The 20,581-nt window shown below is 53.2% G+C and overlaps 1 protein-coding gene across 8 annotated transcripts in view, besides 5 other annotated features; it reads left to right on the forward strand.

The window, feature by feature from the left end:
• ZNF362 (zinc finger protein 362) overlaps positions 1-20,581 on the forward strand; it is a 173,198-nt gene that overhangs the window by 125,412 nt on the left and 27,205 nt on the right. For 2 of the 8 annotated variants that reach the window (NM_152493.3, XM_047447110.1), the window contains exons 1-2: positions 3,559-3,721; positions 17,554-17,679. The exons of 2 other annotated variants lie outside the window; for them this stretch is intronic. In NM_152493.3, the coding sequence (NP_689706.2) occupies positions 17,642-17,679 (38 nt within the window). In that variant the 5' untranslated portion in view covers positions 3,559-3,721; positions 17,554-17,641. Of the gene's footprint in view, positions 1-3,558; positions 3,722-3,931; positions 4,359-16,759; positions 17,680-20,581 lie in introns of those variants that run through there. 4 more of the 8 variants (XM_005270508.6, NM_001370212.1, XM_047447109.1 and 1 more) reach the window with 3 other exon arrangements.
• Positions 2,948-3,047: a silencer, noted in NCBI's record as "silent region_621". NCBI's record gives its function as "represses an Ori minimal core promoter by ATAC-STARR-seq in GM12878 lymphoblastoid cells {active_cell/tissue: GM12878}" and the evidence as "EXISTENCE:reporter gene assay evidence [ECO:0000049][PMID:35858748]".
• Positions 3,490-3,549: a silencer, noted in NCBI's record as "silent region_622". NCBI's record gives its function as "represses an Ori minimal core promoter by ATAC-STARR-seq in GM12878 lymphoblastoid cells {active_cell/tissue: GM12878}" and the evidence as "EXISTENCE:reporter gene assay evidence [ECO:0000049][PMID:35858748]".
• Positions 4,015-4,309: an enhancer, noted in NCBI's record as "tiled region #4113; HepG2 Activating DNase unmatched - State 1:Tss". NCBI's record gives its function as "activates a minimal TATA promoter and a strong SV40 promoter by Sharpr-MPRA in HepG2 cells {active_cell/tissue: HepG2}" and the evidence as "EXISTENCE:reporter gene assay evidence [ECO:0000049][PMID:27701403]".
• Positions 10,600-11,100: an enhancer, noted in NCBI's record as "H3K4me1 hESC enhancer chr1:33729134-33729634 (GRCh37/hg19 assembly coordinates)". NCBI's record gives its function as "activates a minimal SCP1, AML or CMV promoter by ChIP-STARR-seq in naive H9 embryonic stem cells {active_cell/tissue: H9 hESC(naive)}" and the evidence as "EXISTENCE:reporter gene assay evidence [ECO:0000049][PMID:30033119]".
• Positions 15,701-16,202: an enhancer, noted in NCBI's record as "H3K4me1 hESC enhancer chr1:33734235-33734736 (GRCh37/hg19 assembly coordinates)". NCBI's record gives its function as "activates a minimal SCP1, AML or CMV promoter by ChIP-STARR-seq in naive H9 embryonic stem cells {active_cell/tissue: H9 hESC(naive)}" and the evidence as "EXISTENCE:reporter gene assay evidence [ECO:0000049][PMID:30033119]".

The following is a 20,581-nucleotide window of genomic DNA, read 5'->3' on the forward strand; positions in this document are numbered from 1 at the left end:
ATCCATTCAGCAAACATTTATTCCGATGCATCGTGATGAGTGTGTTGCCAGCAGTGTGGCAGAAGGACCATGGACACCTTGGGAACCAAAGGAAAGTGCCCTTTCTATGTGAAGGATCTAGAATGGCTTCATACAGGAGGTGATGTTTGAGCTGACTTGATAAGTAAGTATTCACTACAGAGATGAGATGAGGAGAAAAGGACTAAGAATACCAGACAGAGGGAACAGCATGAGCAGAGGCCAGGCATCATGAAGGTGGATGGTGTGTTCAGAGACAGGGCAGCATCTAGTATGGCTGGATTTGGGGGGAAAGGGGGATGGGTGCCAGTGGCAAAGAGCTGAGCTCAGTCTCTCCATCCCTAGCTTCCTGCACCTCACCCCAACTGCCTCCAACCAAATCATATTAATAGCATCTTGGAAGGTTCTGGAAGGCTTTTAAGAAAATGTCTAAGCTAAGACCTGAAGGATAAATTGAAGGTGGTCAGAAAAGGTGAGGCGAAAGGGCAAGGGAGGGTGTTCCAGGCAGAGGGAACAGCATATGCAAAGTCCTCAGAAGTGAGATAGCAAGGCCTTAGATGGCAGCTCACTTTGGCTGGCTGGAGCACAGCTTTCCAGGTGGCTAGGGAGGAGACTCGTGGGGCAAAGGTGGGCCAGCATGTACCCTTCCCCCATAAATCCCTTCCAAAGGCCCCAGCTCAGCACTCAAGGCCTTCAGGATCCTGTCTCCCATCTGCCTCTCCATTCTAAACTTCTGTGCCTTTGCATGTGCTGTTCTAAGTGCCTAGAATGATGATGATAATGATGATATTGATGATAACATAACTTTTTTGAGCGCTTAGAATGTGTTAGGTGCTGTGATGGGCATTATTTCATTGAACTGCTCAGCAATGCCGTGATTAATACCTTTTAAAATTAATTAATGCCTTAATTAATTAAAGGTATTAATTTTAAAATTTATAGACTTTATGTTTTAGAACATTTTTAGATTTATAGAAAAATTGAGATGATATTACAGACAGTTCCCATATATACCTCCTCTAATTTTCCTATGAGTAATACCTTATGTTACTATTTGTTACGATTTGTTATAATTCTTGGTAGATACTTTCCTTGACACATTATTGTTATTAATAACTAAATTCCATAGTTTATTTAGATTGTTTTTACCTAATATCTTTTACATTTAGTAGTTCGTCTGTTTTTTTTTTTTGAGACAGAGTTTCACTCTTGTTGCCCAGGCTGGAGTGCAGTGGCCCAATCTCGGCTCACTGCAACTTCCACCTCTGGAGTTCAAGCCATTCTTCTGCCTCAGACTCCTGAGTAGCTGAGACTACAGGCACGTGCCACGCCTGGCTAATTTTTGTATTTTTAGTAGAGATGGGGTTTCACCACGTTGGTCAGGCTGGTCTTAAAGTCTGACCTGGTGATCCTCCCGCCTCGGCCTCCCAAAGTGCTGGAATTACAGGCATAAGCCACTGCACCCGGCCGTGTCTTTAGGCTCCTCTCTGGCTGTGATGGTTTCTCGGACTTTCCTTGATTTGGATGACCTTGATAGTTTTGAGGGGTACTGGTCAGCCAGCAATTTTGTTGGATAGCCCACTCTTGGAGTCTGTCTGTTTTTCTCACAAGGCTGGGGTTATGGGTTATTGGGAGGAAGACCACAAAGGTAAAGTGTCATTTTCATCACATAGTATCAAGCACATATCAACATGATTTGTGGCTGTTGATCTTGGCCTTGATCACTTGTCTGAGTAGCAGTCATCAGCTCTCTCCCTGTAAAGTTACTCCTTTCCTCTCCCTTTCCATATTGTGCGCTTGGGGAGGACGTCACTATCTGCAGCCTACTCCTAAAGAGTAGGGAGTGATGCTCCCCCTCCCTGATTGTCTACATAAATTATTTGGAATTCTTCTGCACAGACAATTTGTCTCTTCTCTCCCGTTTATTAATTTATTATCTCATTGAATTTCTCAACAATGGGTTGGTCCTCTGATTATCGTCATTTCTGGAAACTGGAAGGCCTTCCTTTCTTCCCCACCTCGCTCACCCCAGAGCCAATTTCTGAAGCCCTCTCCACCTCTCCAGGAAAGAGTGGCCTCCTCTGTGCTCTCCCGCCATGCTTTAACATTCCAACTAATTCATGCCACACAGATTTCTTGTGCCCCTGCTCTGTGCCAGGCACTGTGCTTGGGGATTGAGAACAAGCAGTCCCTATGGGCCCTGTCTTCGAGTTGCTCACAGTGTTTGCCATCCTGTGCTGGACTAGAATCTTCGTGAGGGCAGGGGCATTATCCAGTTTTTTAATAGCTGTGCTCCAGCCAACCAGCTATTAAAAACAGTGGTTGATGTTTACTAGGTCCTCTATGAATATTTACTGAATTTGGAAATGCTTCCTGGAGGACAAACGCTGGCAGATGATTGTTTATCTCTGTGCCCTTCCCGGGGGACTGTGCGCTCCCTGAGGGCAGGGCCAGCCCTGATCCATCCTGGCCCAGCGGTCGGGGGGTGGTGGATGCCATAGAAATCTAAGCCGGTGAAGGGATCCTGGAACCGGCTGCCTCCTCAGGTAGAAGTGTAAGTTTGGAAGCTGACACAGCTCGGGAGGCCGAATCAGGAGGACTTGGTGACTGATTGGCTGGGGAGGGTGAGGCGGGAGGAGGAGTCACACAGATGGCTCTGAGGTCTGGAGCCGGGGGACAGCCGGTGCCACCTCTGATAGACTCTGCGAGAGGAGCCACTGCCAGCTTCGGGCCGCCCCATCCGTCGGGGATCCGGCCTAGGGCTAGGGAGGGGTGGCTGGGCCTGTGCAAACTTCTACTCCCCACCCCTATGTCCTCGTCTTAAAAAAAAAATCGGCCTGGATTTTGAGCAGGTCGTTATCAGGGGTGAGGGTCCATCCTGGGGGTCCCCTCCAGGCGGCCGTCTTCGAGGGAGACCCCCAGGGGCAGCCTGGCACCGCGCGGGCTCGGCCTGGTCAGGGCCGTGGCCCGCCAGGCCCAAGTCCCCAGCCTGCCATCACCCAGGAGTGGGGTGGCGAGGCGGCCGCCGGGCCTGGGCAGGACAATGGCCACGGCCGCCGGGGCCCCGGGAGCCCCCGCGCTGGGGAAGGGGCTGTCCTAGGGCCGGGCGCCGGTGCCCTCCCCGCGCGGCTCAGGCGGGCGGAGGGGGGCGAGGAGTTCCTTTGTGGCTCTGCCTCCGGCGCGGCGCGGGCGGGGGGCGCAGCGCAACTTTGCCAGGCGGTGGCGGCGGCGGCGGCGGCGGCGACGGCGAGCGCGAGACGAGGCCCCGGGGCCCGAGTGGGGGCCCCAGCGCGCGGCCCGCCCCCGCCCCCCGCCCGGCCCCCTCCCCTCTCGCGCAGTCGCCAGCGCCCGGCGCTGCCCACTCGCGGGAGCCCCCGGGGCCGGACGGGCTGCGCAGCCGGAGAGGCGGGGGCCCGACGCGGCCCCCCCGGAGCCGGGCGCCTGGCGCGGGGGCTCGCCGAGCGCACTGGGGGCCGCGCGGCGCTGCAGACCCAGCCTCCCGCCGCCGCCGCCGCCGCCGCCTCGGCGCTTGCAGAACCCAGAAGTGAACAGCAGGCGACCCGGAAGGTTTGCGCGCGGCTCCGCAGCGAGCCAGAGCCGGAGCCCGAGCCCGGAGCCTGTGCCGGAGCCCCAGCCCGGCCCTGCTCGGGCCGCCGGGCGCGGGGCTGCGGCCGCGTCCCGGAGGCGCCGCCAGCACAGCCAGGTCCGTGCGGGCCCGGGGCGCGCGGGGAGCGGGCCCAGCGGCGGCGGGCGCCTGCCCGCGGGAAAGTTGCGCCGAGTTGCGGGCGGGGGCCGGGCCGGGGCGCGGGCGCTGTCAGCGCGGGCCGGGGCGCTCCGAGGGCCCGGGGCCGCCTGCGCCTCGGGCCCGGCCCAGAGCGGCGGCGGCGGCGGCGGCAGCGGGGCGCGCGGGGTAGGAAGTGTCTCCCGCGGCGTGTCTGGGGCTGGTCTCCGAGTGTGTGTGCGTGTGTGTGTGTGCGCGCGCGTGTGTGTGTGTTTTCTTAAGCCGGGCTATTCAAACCCTGCTGCAATTCTCCGGTAAACAATGATTCATGGGGCATAATGCAAATAAACGGATTGCAAACGGCGCGGTTCGCGCACTTTGCAGCCGGCCCGGTGGAGCAGCCAGTGCCGGATTTCTCCCTTTTTTTGCAGATCTGCAGAATATGGCGTCCCTGTCCTGTTTTAAAAATAAGCCAGGCTGCCATTTTTGTTTTTCTTTTGTCTGAAAATTTTAATAAAACTGTCTGAGAATGTGGGAGAGGCGGCTGGAAGCAGAGGGGGCACCCGAAGGGTTGGCTTTTTTCCTTTTCTTTGGCGAGAGCCGCGAGCCTTTCGGGGAGGTGAGACACAATGCAATTGCACTTTAAAGAAAAAAAAAAAGGGAAGCTGCCGGGCGATTTGAGGGGGGAGGGCTGGGAATTTAAAGTTAACTCCGAAAGTTTGCTTTGCTTTGCTTCTCTTTCTTTCTTTCTTTCTTTTTTTTTTTTTTTGGAAGGCGGTGAAATGCCGCGAAAGGATCTCGAGGCCCATTTCTCCCCCAGCCAGCTGCCTTTGCAGGATTTTTGGGAAAAGTTAACTGCCGGTTTCCTCAGAGCTGCGCGGGATGGGGGTGGGGGGGCGGATGTGGAGGGTTGAGGATGGGAGTTTTGGGGGAACTGGGAAACATTTATTTGGAAGGGGCTCTATAAACATGGCATTGTAAGGAGCTAGATCCTCAGATCTGGGGGAGAGGGCCGGCAAGAGGGGCTCAGAATGGGTCCAGGATTTCCAGCAAAGACCCCTGGCATGAGGAAATAATCCTGCTGTCCCACCACCCTGCCCTCGAGCAGTGTGGAACCTTCGGGAGCTGTGTGTGTGGCAGTGGGCCTGTCTCCTTCATGGGTGGCCAGGACCCCCCGTGTAGGCTGGAATCTCGCCCAAGCCCTGGGGTGACCCTTGGACCCTGAGGCAAGTGAGCTTGGCCCTTTGCAGTTGGAGAGCCCCCTCCCCAACCTGGTGGTCCTCCTGCCCCCAGAGGTGGCAGCTGGTGGTAATGTCTTCCCCGACCCCACCCTATGATGAACTTTTGGTTGGGTGCAGGCCTGCGGCCCAGTGGGTCCCGTCTGAGGGAAGGGGCAGGAAAGGTAGTCTGGTTTGCTAGACCTCCTCGGTGTGAGCCTCACCCCTGTAGTATGCTCTTATTCCTTTCTGCCACTCCTGCCCTACGCCCGGGAGGTAGAAGCACTTTGGACTTCGGTTAAGTTCCTGAAGTATCTTGCTGGACAGGTCAGGGCCTGCTGGCTCCGCAGGCTGCCGAGGGGGATCTGAAGGCCAGGCCCACAAGGTCTGGGGTGACTGGTGCTGTCCAAGGCACTGGGGCAGTGTTGGGCCTAGCCTCTCATGTGTCCCCTACCCCAGCATTTCTTGGAGGGGAGACCCTTCTAGTCTCACTCCTGGTTTGTGTCCTGGCTCCACTAGACAGAGTGAGCTCCCAGAAGCCAGAGTCGGGGGTTGAAAGCTGGGGTTAGGGGTTCAGGGCTGTGGAACATGGCATGTCTTGGCCAGAGGGTACCAAGCCAGGTGGTTTTTAGATGGAGGAACTGAGGTCCAGAGAGAGGAAGTGACTTGCCTGAAGTCACGCTACCAGGTAGAAGGAGACTGAGACCGGGACCTGGGTGTTCAGGCTTCCACTGCTGGGCTCCCTCCACTGTTCTCCATGACGGGCCTGGACCCCTGGAAGATCCGTTTTGAACAGAACTGGACTAGAATGGGACAGCACGATCCCTTCACCCCCTCCTACCCCCGCCATCATAATCTTTCCTGAGAGAATTGAACTTCACAGTTTTCACAGTATGGTGTGGTGATTATCACATCAGGTTCTCCCAGAAACTCAGTTAGGGTTAAATTGTCCTAATGGGGATTATGAACCTCATTATAAGGAAACCAAGACTCAGAGAGGTTGAACAGTGGCAGAGGAGGCTTAAATTCAGGCCTGCAGGCTCCTCGCCTGGCCTTTTCCCAGGTGGACTTTGGTGCTGTGGGAAGGACTCTTCTAGGTTTTGGACTCTCTAATTCTTCTGCTGAACCCAGTGACTGTGTAAACATCCAGAGGCCCACCCCACCCAAAGAATGTCAGACTGAAAAGGCTCAGATGTCAGGAGGTCACCTGGGCTCAGAGAGGGGAAGCTACTGGCTGGAAGTCAGTGATTTGGGTCTCAGAACCAGACCCTGATCTCCTGCCTCCCTTCCTCTGTGACACTCAGAGGGACAATGAGCCCCTCTACCCATTGCCAGGCTGCACGGGCCCCAGGATGGCAGGAATTGCTAGTGGATGGTGGTGCTGGTGATGGTGTCATGGAATAACGGCCAGCGCTCCATGGAGACATGAACTTATCCCAGGGACTGAGGAATAGGCTATCTGCAGTCTTGGGGGGTGGAGGCAAGTTGGTCCCACATGGAAAGGAGGAAGCAGGTGTGTGGGTAAGGTGGGGACCGGGTCTGAAGCCAGGCTGGCCCTAGCCCTTCCCTGGGCAGACACTTTCCTGTCTTATCTCTCTGTAAAATGAGGAGCCATTCATTCCTTCTTCTGCCACGGGCTATTTTATTCATTCATTTGTTGCCAGATCATTCCTTTATTCTTTCATTATCCATTAATTAGTTTATTGGTTAGTCATCTCAGTAATCTACCCATCTGTCCTTCTATGCAATCCTTAGCTCACCCAGCCCACACTGGACAGACATGTGAGATACAAGTGTAGTCCTCCAGGGCTCTAAAGCCAACAAGGAAGAAGAGGTGAGACTGCAGGTGCATGAAGCACTAGCCAGGGCAGTGTTTGCTGAGTGCCTCCATGAGTCCCCAGGGGAGGTCTCTCAGAGAATGGAAAGCTTGAAGACACCAAAGGAGTTCCATAAACCATCACAGTGGTAGACCTGGGTCCTGAGATTAGGTCCCATTGTGTCACATGGCTTCTGTGACTTTCAGCACATTCTTTCCCTTTCTGAGCCTCAGTTTCCTCAACTCTAAAATGGGGTACTTTCTGTGAATCTCTCATGGGTTGTTGGGAGTGATATCAAGACAGTGTATGACACGTCTCCCTGCCCTGGCCAGGCATGTGGTGGGAGCTCAGTACGTACCCACTGAGTTATAAGGATTGCTGATGACTGTCCTAGGCCCTGCCATGAATTTGAGAACCGTGATGCTGGTTTCAGAATGAGGCAAATGATCTGGGCACCCTGAAAGCCCTGGTCTGCTTTGTCATTCCCCTGCTGAAACTTTTCTAATGTTTCCTAGGCATTTATAAGAAAAAATATCTGAAGTACTTTCTGGGCCTACAAGGCCCTTAATAGTCCAGGCTCTGCCCACCTCTCAACCTTGGCTCCCCGCATCCCATTGCCACCTCCAGCCACACACCAGTTTCATTCTACACCTTGAATTTACAAAGCCTGGTGGCAGGGCCTTTGCACATTCCCCCACCAGGACAGCTTTTCCCTGAGTGTTTACATGGCTGGCACCTTCTTGTTTCACAGGTTTCTACTTGAATGTTACCTCCTCAGAGGGTCTGCTTGGACCACTTGCTCTAAAATAGCTTCCTACTCTCACTCTCTCACATCAGCTGCTTTTTCTTTTCTCTTGTGGCTGTCACCAGTATCTGAAACCCTCTCATTATTCGCATTTCTTGCCTGTCTACACCATTAGAACATGCTGAAGCGCCATGCGTGTGAGTGAGCAGGTGGTTCTGGTGTGGTGTGGCTGGGGCTTTTGTAGAGGTGAGGAAATGCTAGGGAGTCCAGGTGTGGCAGCGCATTGCCTGGGAGATAAAGTTACACTGAGGGCTGTCTTCTCCTTCCTCCCACCCCGGGAGACTCAGGGCTGTTGTCAGGAAATAATGAGATGATTAAATCATGGAATCTAAGAATCCCAGTCTCTTCCAGTCTCAGAGCTTTAGCATCTGAGAAGCTTTCCAGCTCAGAACCTTTGACACTTGGAATCTTACCATGATAGGATGATCCAGTCTTAGGTTTAGAATCTTACAAAGTGGACTCTCACTGCCTTATTTAGCATCACAGAGGGCTCGCTTTGTGCCATGCCATGTTCTAAAAGCCTTTATAAATATTAACATATTTACAGGTGAGGAAGCTGAGGCACAGAGGTATTTAGGTATCATGGAGCAGTTGCTGGGATTTGAACCTAGCACTCTGGGACTCCTTAGAATCCCTCAACTGTTGAGGGGAAGCCCAACCTCACTTGACCCTTGCACAGAGCAGGAATCCTTTTCCCACACCTTTGTCAAAAGGGCCTCTGATCTCTGCCAAAAAACCCCCCTCCAGTGAACTCCCTCCTAACCAGGCCACCTAGCTTCCTGCTGTCAGAAAGTTCTCATTGCTAGTAAGATTTTCTTGACAATGTGTAAAGTGCTGCACCTCCCTTGTGAATAACGCCTGGGAAGTGGTGTTAGTGTCATGGTTTCCCAGTGCCTTTGACCTTGTGGATTCCTGGTTTCAGTGGCCTCTTTCTTCCCACTGGGTTGTGGGAAGAAAGGCAGACAGCCTTGAGGCAGACAGCCTCGGTGCATTGTTGAATGTAAGAATGAATAAATTGGTGCACAAAGACCGCATGAACCCTCAGGATTTCTGAGTTCCTATCTCTTTAGCCTGGTGCTCGGCACTCATCCAGGGTAATTGGTCAGGCTTGGTGTACTCAGGAAAAGGAGACACCGTTATCTCTCCAATAAAGTCTGTATCTGATGACATTTATGTATGCAATTCTTGGAGAATCATGTGAGATCTAAAATCATGCACTATTCGGAGCGAGGTGGATGTCATCTAGCCAAACTTCATTCTACCCGTTGGGGAAACTGAAGTGGGAAGGGAGAGGAGCAGGCCTTATCCAAGGCCACGTGCATCTCTGTCTGCTACCCAGAGGCCAACAGGCTGCTGCTGCAGTATCTGCCTTGGGGATCAAAGGCAGGGGAAAGTGCTCAATGGGACAGTTACTTCTTCTCTAGTGCAGAAGCTACCCCTGTACAATGGGGGCAACATTTTTGGATGCACAGGGTGTGCCTGGCACTTGGGGGGAGATTGAGGAAGCCAGCTGCATTGGGAGTTGGTTGGGGCTATGGTGATGGGGATGGCTTTCTAGAACCTGGGGCTGGAACTGGGCTTTGGAGGCTGGGTGGAATTTGGGGGAGGTGGCTGAATAGTGTCTTTAGTGGATAAGGTGTGTAGGGAAGGCCAAGGGATTTGGCTCTGGGGCCTAAGGGGTCCTGCCTTGTTCCCTGCCTCATGCATGTGGCCACAAGGGTACTCTTGGTGGGGTCTCCACCATCTGGGGTCCTTTTCTGAACTTTGGGCAAAGGCTTTAGGATTCTTTTTTTTTTTTTTTTTTTTTTTTTGAGATGGAATCTTGCTCTGTCCCCCAGGCTGGAGTGCAGTAGCGCGATCTCCCCTCACTGTAAGCTCCGCCTCCTGGGTTCACACCATTCTCTCCTGCCTCAGCCTCCCGAGTAGCTGGGACTACAGGTGCCCACCACCACGCCCAGCTAATTTTTTTGTATTTTTAGTAGAGATGGGGTTTCACCGTGTTAGCCAGGATGGTCTCGATCTCCTGACCTTGTGATCCATCCGCCTTGGCCTCCCAAAGTGCTGGGATTACAGGCGTGAGCCACCGCACCTGGCCGGCTTTAGGATTCTTGAGGGGACAGTCTAGGCAGCCATTCCAGGTTCTGGGGCTCTGTCGGGGGACACCTGCTTGAGAGGGGGCACAACCCTTCAACACACTCAAATACATTCATACATATTCACACTATTACCTTTTCCATTACCACCCCTGACCCTCCCTCCTGCACCATCCTTGCCAATGTGGAGCACTCCTCTGCTATTTCAGAAATACCACCACAGGTGTCCTAAACTGGATCCCTAGGAGCCAGGAGTTCAGGAAGCATGTCTGCTGGAGTGTGCATGCACACACGGTATGCACATCACATAGGAGCACGTGCATGTGCTCTTGCCACTGGGAGGACCACATACCCAAGCGTACACCGTGCACTCTCCTGGGAAACAGCACACAGCCACATGCCTGATCATCTGCACATTCTCCCACACGCATGGTGTTCATCTGTACACAGCTCTGTTCACTCAGGCCTCCTTGTGCACATGTGTGTTTTTACATGTAGATGAGTCTTGCATGCACATGCTTATTTACACTTGAGATAACATAGCCTCAAATTCTAGCCGTTGCGCAGTGTGTCTCATACACACCCTTGCATTCACACCTGCACCTACACCTGGCCTGGATCTACTGGAAATGGTGGAGCCGGCAGCCCGTTTCTGTCTCCTGCCTTCATTCACTAGTATTTCTTGAGCATTTACTATATCCAGGCTTTGTGCTAGATGCTGAGGATAGATGGGAGGAAAACTGATGTATATAGGTCCCTGCCCTAGCGGAGGTAGACAGGCACTATATAAAAGATCACACAAATGATGATTTTTTTTTTTTTTTGAGATGGAGTCTCGCTCTATCACCCAGGCTGGAGTGCAGTGGCACAATCTTGGCTCGCTGCAACCTCCACCTTCCAGGCTTAAGCAATTCTCCTGCCTCAGCCTCCAGAGTAGCTGGGATTACAGGCGTGTGCCACCACACCCGGCTAATCTTTGTATTTTTAGTAGAGATGGGGTTTTGCCATGTTGGTCAGGCTGGTCTCAAACTCCTGACCTCAGGTGATCCACCCACTTTGGCCTCCCAAAGTGCTGGGATTACAGGTGTGAGCCACCGTGCCCAGCCACATGATGATTAAGATTAGAGATTTTGGTCACTATGTTGACTGATGATGGGGGAGGAGCAGAGGGAACAGCCTGGGCAGAGACCCGGAGGTGAGAAATTCAGGGACAAAGAGAAGGTGGTGGCACTGGGACCTAGGGAAGTTGCAGGAGATGAGGCAGCAGGTGAGGCTGAGTCTGGTGGGGCCTGTAGCCGGTCTTCCCTGGCCTGTTCCCCGCGAGCCATTTGTCCACCCCACACCCTCCCCACTCCTTTCTCTGCCCAGCCCAGCTCAGCCTTCCCTTTGCTGCTGTGGCCTGCTTGGGGCCTGCTCTGTCTGCTGGCCTGCACCCCAGGCTGGAGGCCTGTTTGGCCTGCCCCACAGGCTGCCTGCCTTGGAGGTCCTGGGATATAGCAGGGAAGCAGGCTTCACTGCCTGCCAGGGGTTCCCTGTCCAGGACCCCTGAGACCTGTCTAGAAAGCTCCTGGGGGCCGGGCCAGAGCCAGGGTCCAGCAGTTGGCTTTCCTGTTTTTAGTTAATCTCAGACCTGGATCTTTGCCAGTCAGAAGAATGGTCCCTGTGGGTCCTGAAGGCCACCCAGAGCTACTGCCACCCCCCACCCCCTAGATGGCATTACTGGCTGGTCAGATTTCCATGTGGGTCTTTGGAATGTTGGGAAAGGCTCCCTTAGGCCTTAGAGAACCTAGCAACAGCAATGGCAGCTGACTGTTCAGGAGTCCTCACTGTGTGTCAGGCAGTGTTCGAAAGATTTTATCCATATTAGCTAACTTAGTCCTCAGTACAACCCATGGAGATACCATAATCATCCCCAGTTTACAGATGAGAAAATTGAGGCTTGGAGATTTAGGTAACAATCCCAAAGGCCTGAGCTGGGGCTATCTGCCTCCAGAATCCATACTTTGAACCCTTGAGCTGTCACATTTCCCCTTTAAGGGTCCAGGAGCCCAGACTATGATTTGGTTGAACCCCTTCACCTTATAGAGGCAGGAAAGGAGGCCCAGAGAGAAAATGGACTTGACAGAGGGTTCTGTTACCTCTGCCTGCACCAGATGCATGGTCTTGGGCAGGTTAGTTACCTCTCTGAGCCTCATTCCTGACCCCAAACAAAGAAGTGATGACCATAGAAGCTTGGGGGACACATGGGGACTGAAATTGAGAAAGGACCCAGGGTGAGGGCTTCTTAGGTCTCCTGATACATGCTTTGTAAGTGATTAAGCTGTCCGTTCATGTTCTAAGCATCTTTCTGAATATATGTTATATTTCAAAACACTCACAGCATCTACCTCATGGGGTCGTTAGGAGCCAGAGTGAGAAATGCTTGTAAAGTATCTTAAGGTGCCTGGCATGGAGGAAGCAACTATTATTATTATTGCCATCATCATTTCATACAAGCAGAAGGAGTTCCCTGTGGGGATAGGAGCTGGGGGTCCCCAGGAGAAATAGAAGTAGGGAGGGGGATGTGCTCCAAGCCTGTAGAACATTCTCTCAGAACTGAGAGAGTGTCATGGCCCCTTCCCTAGATGAGGGCACTGAGGCTCCCAGAGAGGCTCAACCGCCCTCAGTGTCTCTGGGTAGCTGGAGGTGGGAATGGGGGGCCCAGAGGTTGAGGGTGTTGGGGAGGGGGAGGGACAGTGAGGGGAAGGGGCAGGCTCCCAGCTCCCACTGACCTGGGCACAGACAGCAACCCCTCCTGCTCTGATTAGCCCTGCCATCACAATGAAAACAGCCCTTCCCAGCCCCGTGGGGCTGCGGAAACCCGGTCTAATTGGATCCAGGACCCTGGGAGCCTCTTTCCTTCCGGGGAAGGAAGTTCCCAGGAGTGTGTTTCTGGTGCTGGCCAGGACTGCCCAAAGTCTTGAGAGTGGGGTGGGGTGCAGTGGCTGGGGCTCAGGGTTCTAGCTGCTTGGAGTGGCAGAGGGCAGAGGGGCCATGGGAGGCAAACTTTGAGCGTGTCTCAGGAGCCTAAAACATGAGAAGCCTCAGTTTCCCTCTCCTAGACCATCTGCTTATCCTCTCCAGGCCATCCTTCTGGCCCCATACAGCTTGTCCATTGAAAACCTTGGCCATGGCCCTCCCTTGCTCAGGGACCTCCCATGTCCCCCCTATGTTCTTTCACCGGAGCACCTTAGCCTGCAACTCTGGTCCTTTATGAACGGCTCCAGCCACCCCACCCTTCTTCCCTTGTGAATTCCTGCACTATACCCCTGACCCACGTGATGCTGTGTGCTTTCCTGCCTCGGGGCCTTTGCACATGCAGTTCTTTCCACCTGCCATACTCTCCTTTGGCATCTCCCTCTTGCAATTTCCCCTTCCCCCATCAGTAAGTCCCACCTTCCTGAAGTCTGTTCTTCCCACAGTGAGATGAGTTCACCCTCCTGAGAATGCTGCCACTACCCTCCCTTCCCTCCCAGCCTGACTGCAGCAGTAGCTGTTGCCCCTCTCTGGGGGCAGGGATTATGTTTGAGAAACCTTTGCTCTCCCAGGGAGTTAACAGTTTTCCAGCTTCTGCACATGCTGCCCTTCTGCCGCAGTGGCTCTCCTGGCAAACTCGTCTGTCTTCACGGCTCACATGGAAAGACCCCTCCTCATCAATTCCCTCAGTGAACATCTGTTGAGTACCCAGTGTATACTAGGCACTTGAGGCCCTACTGCATGGCTGGCGCTGGGCTCTGGGGCTGCAGCAGTGACGGCTGATGGGGAGACAGGCCTAAAGCATATTTAGGTGCATGGTATTAATACAAAGGTGGGGTAGGGAGAAGGCAGGGGACCATGGGAGTGTATAACAGGGTAGCCCAATTCCTATGTGGGAAACGTCAAAAGTGACCTTTAAGTTGAGACAGGAGGGAAGACCTGGGTGAGCTGTGGGGCTATGTTGGGGTAGGGGTTGTAACTAAGAACCAGACCAAGCCCTGCTTTTGGGGAGCCCACAGCCTACATGGGGGACTGGACAAATAACCAGATAACCAGACAGTTCCTCAAGGTGGTGCCAGCTGAGCAGAGTTTTGAGGGCAGGGTTCCAGCTGGGTGGTATGGCTCCCAGATGGAGGGGCTCAGCCTGTGCAAAGCCATGGCACATCAGATCACCTTGTTCTGGGGGCCCTGATGCTGGAGGGATGCTGCCAAGGAGCACACCTGGTGAGATGAGTGTGGCCAGGGGACCTTCTTGGCGAAAACCCGAGCATCAGACTGTGGAGTTTGAACTATACCCCAAAAGTGATGGGAATCCAAGAAGGATTTTAAGCGGTAGACTTAGCGCCCTGGGAAGGCTCTCCTTCGGCTTGGTCCTCCCCGCTGGGGCCCCTGGATGGGACCAGGAGTCCCTTCCTGACTGCTCTCCTGGCTGGGGTCATGGGTGGGGCTGGAGGCTTTTGCTGTGGGACTTTGAGCAGGCCCCTGTCCCTCCCTGAGCCCCACTCTCCTGGGTAAACTTGCAGGGCCTTAGGCTGGGGTTTGGGGTGTCTTGCTTTGTCAAAGGTTGCTTAACTTTTGGTTTTATTAAAAATATTCCCTTAAAAAGTCACATAAGAATACTCTTCCAGGCCTATCGCCCCATCAGCTGTGACATGGAGAAAAATGAGAAAACAGGGATATGAAATAAGTAAAAACCCACCTCATCTCTGCCCCTGCTCCAAGCCGGAAGCATCACCACTGTTAGCATTTTGGTGTTTTCTTCCCCTCTTTTCTCTCAGCACCCAGTTTTTATATAGATGTCCTTGCTCCATCTATACATGCAGTTTTTAAAAATCTTCCCATTTCCCCCCTGACTATTGTTGTATCACAAGTATTTTTTTAAATGACTGCAGAGTGGTTTCAATCCTTCCTTTTAATGGATCCAGTGTCAGGGTGGAGAGTATGGGCTTTAGGGCCTGATTGTCTGGATTCAAATCCTACACTTAACTGCTTGACTTTAGGCAAATTTCCTGATCTCTTTGTGCCTTCAGTTCCTGACAGGCCAATGTGAGTGTTAAATGAGTCATTACAAGGCCAGTAACATTAGCTGTTATTAACGACCATAGACTATGACACCAGGTAACATGACTTAAACAGAACCTGTTTAAAATTTCGGCTGTTCCAGGTTTTTGCTGCTGTAAAAAACCACTGACGCAAACAGCTTTGTACATATAACTTTTTCTATATTTTTCTAGGGATGGATGACCAAGAATGGGATCACTAGGCCAGGAAGTTTGGACATTTTTAGAGCTCTTGACAAATTCATGCCAGATTTATTTCAGAAATGATTGTTACAGTTTACACTCCCACCAATAATACATGAGCGTGCCAATTTCACCATACCCTCACCAGTATTGGGTGTTAGCATTTTCTTATTTCTTTTTCCTATTTTGACAGGTTAAACTCATTGAATTTTCACTGCTATGGAAGCAGAACCATTTTCTGTGTTTATTAGCTGTTAACATCCTTTTTGGGTTGGCTCGTCTTTAGAGAACACACATAGCCCCTTCTTGGGTCAATTAGGAAGACAGGACTTGGGTCAATTAGGAAGACAGGACTTAGACACAGGAAATAGTAAACAGTGTTAACACAGAGGACAGCACAGTGCCAGAGTGGGTGGAGGGGACTTGGAGGAGGGGGAGGGGGCTTCCTTCCATCCAGGCCACAGCCCTTTCAGTTCCCCCCACCTGATTATTAAGTAAGTAATTAATCCAAACTTTTATCAGGTACTGTGCAGGGCTTAAAAGATAAATGATTCAGCCATGATCCCTCCCCATCAGAGTGCTTGTCTGGCAGCAGAGATGGATGAGCAAACAGACAGAACATGGGGTGAGAGGGGTTCTGATGATGGAAAGGCAGGGTACAAAGGGAGCAGAGAGGAGAGCACACAGTGTAGCTCAGGCATGGAGGCAGAGCAGTCCCCGATTGCTTCCAGGAAGAGGTGGCCTGTAAGCTGGGGCCTGAGGGATGCATTGGAATTCACTAGTGAAATGGGGAGGGCAGAGAGCACCAGGGAGAGGATGCAGCCTGTGGAAGGTGAGAAGGGAAGCAGAACCCTGGGGGAACTGTGAGATGTTCAGTCTGGCTGGGCAGTGCAAAGTAGAACAGCCAGAGAGATTGGCAGGGGCCGCACATGTAAGGCTTAAGCAATCCAGAAATTGTCTGGAGGGAAGTAGGGAGCTATGGAGGGTCCTAGGAAGGGCAGGGTTATGATCTTTTATTTTATTAAAATCACAGTGACTGCAGTAATGGAGTGGAGGATGAGGGTGGAGTGGGGGAACCTGTGAGCAGGCTCTTACAACAGCTGAGGCCAGAGCTGAAGGGGGCCTGGATCAGGGCAGGGGAGGTGGTGCAGACCCTCTTCTCTCCCCACCCTGTAGGATCCTAATCAGCTTCATGGTACAGATTGAATGCCACCTCTTCCGGATAGCCCTTCCTGACACCCACCCTCCAAGTTGTGCTTTGAGGCTGAGGCTGTGCAGGGCCTGGCATGCAACAGTCAACTGCCTGCCCACCAGCAGCTGACCCTGACCTCCCCCTGCCCCATGCCTCTGGACCCTCCATCTGTTCCCCGCACTGGGCTACCAACTACTTTCTTTCATTTTTTAAGAATAAATTTATTGTTTTCATTAAGCAGCTGAACAGCATTACAGAGAATTTGGAAATCAGAGAAACAAAGACAAAGACCAAGATTGGCCCCAGCTGCCTCCTGCCTTGCTCCCAGCCTCCCTCTGGGTGTGGCTCCCTGAAGCTTTCTTTTTCTGACGCAGGTTTTTATTTTTGCCTCCTTTGTAATCATAGTGTCCGGATAGTTTTGGGTCCTGCTCTCTCGCATTTGCTTTGTGAAGAGCTAGTTCCCATGTGACCATGGGGTCTGGGCAACTGTCTTCTTTTTAAAGACAGGTTCTCACTCTGTCACCCAGGCTGGAGTGTAGTGGTGTGATCATGGCTCACTGCAGCCTCAAACTCCTGGGCTCAAGCGATTCTCCTGCCTCAGCCTCTCAAAGTGCTGAGATTACAGGCATGAACCATGCCCAGCCCAGTCAAATCTCACTTTTTAATGTCTGTGGGTTGGGCTGGGGCGGGGGTTGGGGGATGGCCGTAAGTTGCTTTACTGAACCCTTCTGCCTTGCAGTGGGTAAGTCTTGTGACATTCCTCCCTGGGCTGCCTGTCCTCTTTCTGTCCATTTGTCTAGGTCTGAAAGTCTCCAGGTGGCAGGGCCTGGCACCTGATGTACACCTTCCTCAGTACCCCCTCCCTCAGTTCCCCTCTCTGGAGCTTGCTGGGCTGGCCTCAGAGACACCCTTCTGGGACGGAGTGATAAACAGACCCGGTTTCAAGTTCAGACTCAGCTCTGTGACCTAAGGCAACTTGCTTAACCTCTCTGGACCTCAGTTTCCTCATCTGTACAACAGGTTTATTGTGAGAGTAAAATAATGGCTGTAAATATCTTGACACAGTTCCCAGTCCATTGGAAGTGGCCACCTTGGGCTAGAGGCTGGCAGAAATGAATGAGCACCAACCCTACTTGTGAAGAGTTTGAAGTCTGGTGGGGAGGACACCCGGGAAAATATAACTGCACTGGAGTGCAGTTGGCCCTGTAGTGCTGGGCCAGTGCTGGGCATCCTAACTCCATCACTTACTAGCTGTGTGATTTGGGGCAAGTTGGTCAATCTCTCTGTGCTGCACGTGCATCTCAGAGTCATTGGGAAGATTCAGTGACATGAATCATGACATATTCAACACATAGATGTTGAAATCAATGGTAGCTGGCACTTTACTATTATTATTATTGTTATTATTGTTATTGTTATTCCCATATACAAGGTGCTGTTGGGAACACAGAGGAAGTGACTGGCTGGGGGTTCAGGGAAAGCTCCGTAGAAGAGGGAACACTTGAGCTGGGTCTTGAAGGATGAGTAGAAGTTCACCAAGTGGGAAAGGACACTCTAGGTAAGGAGCCTGTGATTCCAGGTTGCACTCTGTCAATGAGGGTTTGTTCTTTGGGGGATTAAAGCATTGTGTTCGTCCCACCTTCCCTGAGTGCCCCCGCTGCTACCCTCTGGGTCTGCCCTGGGGGAGGTGTGTGCTTACCCTCCTGTAGCGGCCTCCTGTGTCGTGGTGGCTGTGGGTTCCTCCTCACGGCAGCTGCTGGGTCCCCATCAGTCCACATTTGGGGCCACAGGTCTGTATCTGTCATTTGTGTCTGGGTTTGGTGCTGTCTGTCCGCATGTTCCTGTGGCTGTGTTTGTCAGCATTGGTATGCAGTGGGCCTCCTGGGCTCCACTGTGGGGGTCACCTTGCATGCTTCCTTGGCCTCCAGCTTCAGGCCTCTTTGGCCGCTCTCCTCCCTGGCCCAGGCGCAGCCCCTGCCTCTCTGCTCTGCTCCCCAGGGGCCTCCCACTGCCTCTTCTCCTGTCCTTTCTAGTCCCCTCTACATTGGGCACTCAGAGGGGCCTTTCTCAACCACAGATTCTGTCCCATCACCCACTGCTTCAAGTCTAGCCTTCAGGCCTAGGAGTCAGGGAGCAGCCTTTAAGGTCTGGCCCCAGCTGCTGGCTCCAGCCTCATCTCCCATCTGCCAGGCAACACCGAACGCTCGTGGCTCCCCTCACACTGTTGGGCTCCTCGCCTGGGGGGCCTTTGCTCAAGCTGTTGCTTCTGCTGGGAATGCTCCCACTTCTTCTCTGCCTGGCTAACTCCCACTCATCCTTTAAGACCCAAGGCAGGCATCACCTCCCCTGGGAAGTCCTCCCTGATCCTCTCCAGGCTGGGTCAGGTCCCTGGCTCTGGGCTGCTAATCCCTTACATGGGGGGCAGGAGCAAGTGCCTTGCCCAAGATCACACAGCTGGTGAGTTGGAGTAAAGATTGGAACCCGGGTATGTTGGGCTGCAAACAGAGCGGGCTGTTCCACAGTCCTGGTGAGGCGACAGTGGCTGGGACTGTTGGAGAAGAGTGGGTGGGCTTGAGAGAGATTTTGGAACTGGAATCCTGAGGACATGGCTGAGATGGGTGTGAGGTGAGTGGGGAGGGAGGGCGAGTGTGGTAGATCACTTTGTGTCTGCAGGAGCATCTGGGCAGATGTGTGGTAGATCACTGTGTGTCTGCAGGAGCATCTGGGCAGATGTGCGGTAGATCACTGTGTGTCTGCAGGAGCATCTGGGCAGATGGGGATGTCCCGCTGTGAGCTGGGGGTGACCAGACCAGGTGCATGGCATAGGGGAAGACTAAGTCCAGCTCAGGCCTGCAGAGTCTGAGCAGCCCAGGAGTCGGCCAAAGGGACTGTCAGGGAGAGGCCTGGCTGGAGGTGGGGACTTCGGGCTTGGCTGGTATTTAGATTCTAAAGTGGTTGGGCCACCCAGGGAACTGAGGCTGGTGGGAGAGAGGGGGCTCCCGCTCTGTCCTGAGGAGCTGAATTGGTGGGGAAGAGAGGCTAGGGACTGTAAAGGAGGCTGAGAAAGTGAGGAGCCAGGTGTCATGGTACACAGGCCTTCTCCAAGGGGCCAGGTGGCAGGGAGGCCATGGAGGACAGGACTGGAAGGTGGGCCATAAGCTTTGACCTCAGGGAGGCCACGGTGGTGTGTGGTTGGCCTTATAGGTGAGAGTTCTTTGCAGAAGCTTATGGCTCACTTGTCTGCTTCCTTCACTTAGCTTGGGGCTCGGGGAGGGCAGAGTTCTTTCCAGTTGGCTCAGGTTCCCCAGCGCTGGTCCCAGTTTGGCCCAGAGGATTTGTCCAATATGAATGGATGGACAGATTGATAGATGGGCCAGCTGCCATCAGCAGGCCGTTTTCTGGAAGGGGCGTTTCGTTCATCCGCCCATCCACTGTTTTTCACCTTTTAGAATAAGAGAAACAAAATGACATTTGCTCCCCTGTAAGGATCAGCCCTGTGTCTTGGGGCTCACAGTAGAGAGTCTTGGCTTTTGTCGTGCTTGAGGCCTGGCCACCAGCGTGTTTCCTCTGCCCATTCTGGTATGCACACTCAACCCCCGGGTGGCTGTTCTGTCTCCACCCCCTGCCCTCACCAGGTCCTCAGATAGTCCCCTCTGCTTCACTGCTCCCCTGGCCCAGCATGCTTCCTGCCACCTTCTCACCACCAGCATTCCAACCCAACATCTTAGCATGGCATTCAGTGCCCTGTGTCTCCCCACCTCCCTGGTCTGCAGCTCTCTTTGGTGTCTTTGGGTGCTGTTCACTGTCCCAAGCCTGCCTTGTGCTTTCACATCTCCACACCTTTGCTGAAGCTGTGACCTCTTCCAGGAATGTCCTTCTGCCTTGTCCCTCTGTCCTGAACACACTTCTGGCCATGTCTCTTTCTGGCTTCAAGCCCCTCCCTTAGACAAGGTCTGAGTGGCTTGGCCTGGCCCTGGCTGTCTTACCCCTTCACCTCTCACCAGGGCCCACCCTCTTGTACAGGTCCCAGGGCTGCACAGGGGATACCCACCTCAAAGGCATGTTGGGAGTCTCACATGAGATGCTGTTGATGAGCACCTAGCAGTGTGTCTGACACGCAGGAAGAGCTCAGGAAATGTTTGGCCCCTGCCCTGCCTTCCCTGTGCCTGTCACACAGTAGGTAGATACCAGGACTAGGGTCACTGACTGAATCATTAAATTACTTAGAACCAGCCAGAAAATGATGCAGAGAAATCAGGCAAAGGTGGTGTGGATCAGATTAAGTGATCTGGGGCCCATCTAGGGTGAAGGGTGGCCCCTGCCTGACCAGGGGTCTGATAAGTGGCAGGATGTTCTATCCCAGCTGTGGTACCCTGGGCAAGACCCCCTCTTCCCATAGCCTCCTGATCAGGGTAGTGGCTCTGAACTTGGCATTGAACTGAACTGAAGAGGAGGAAAAG

Source organism: Homo sapiens, chromosome 1 (assembly GCF_000001405.40).
Source record: "Homo sapiens chromosome 1, GRCh38.p14 Primary Assembly".
NCBI lineage: Eukaryota > Metazoa > Chordata > Mammalia > Primates > Hominidae > Homo > Homo sapiens.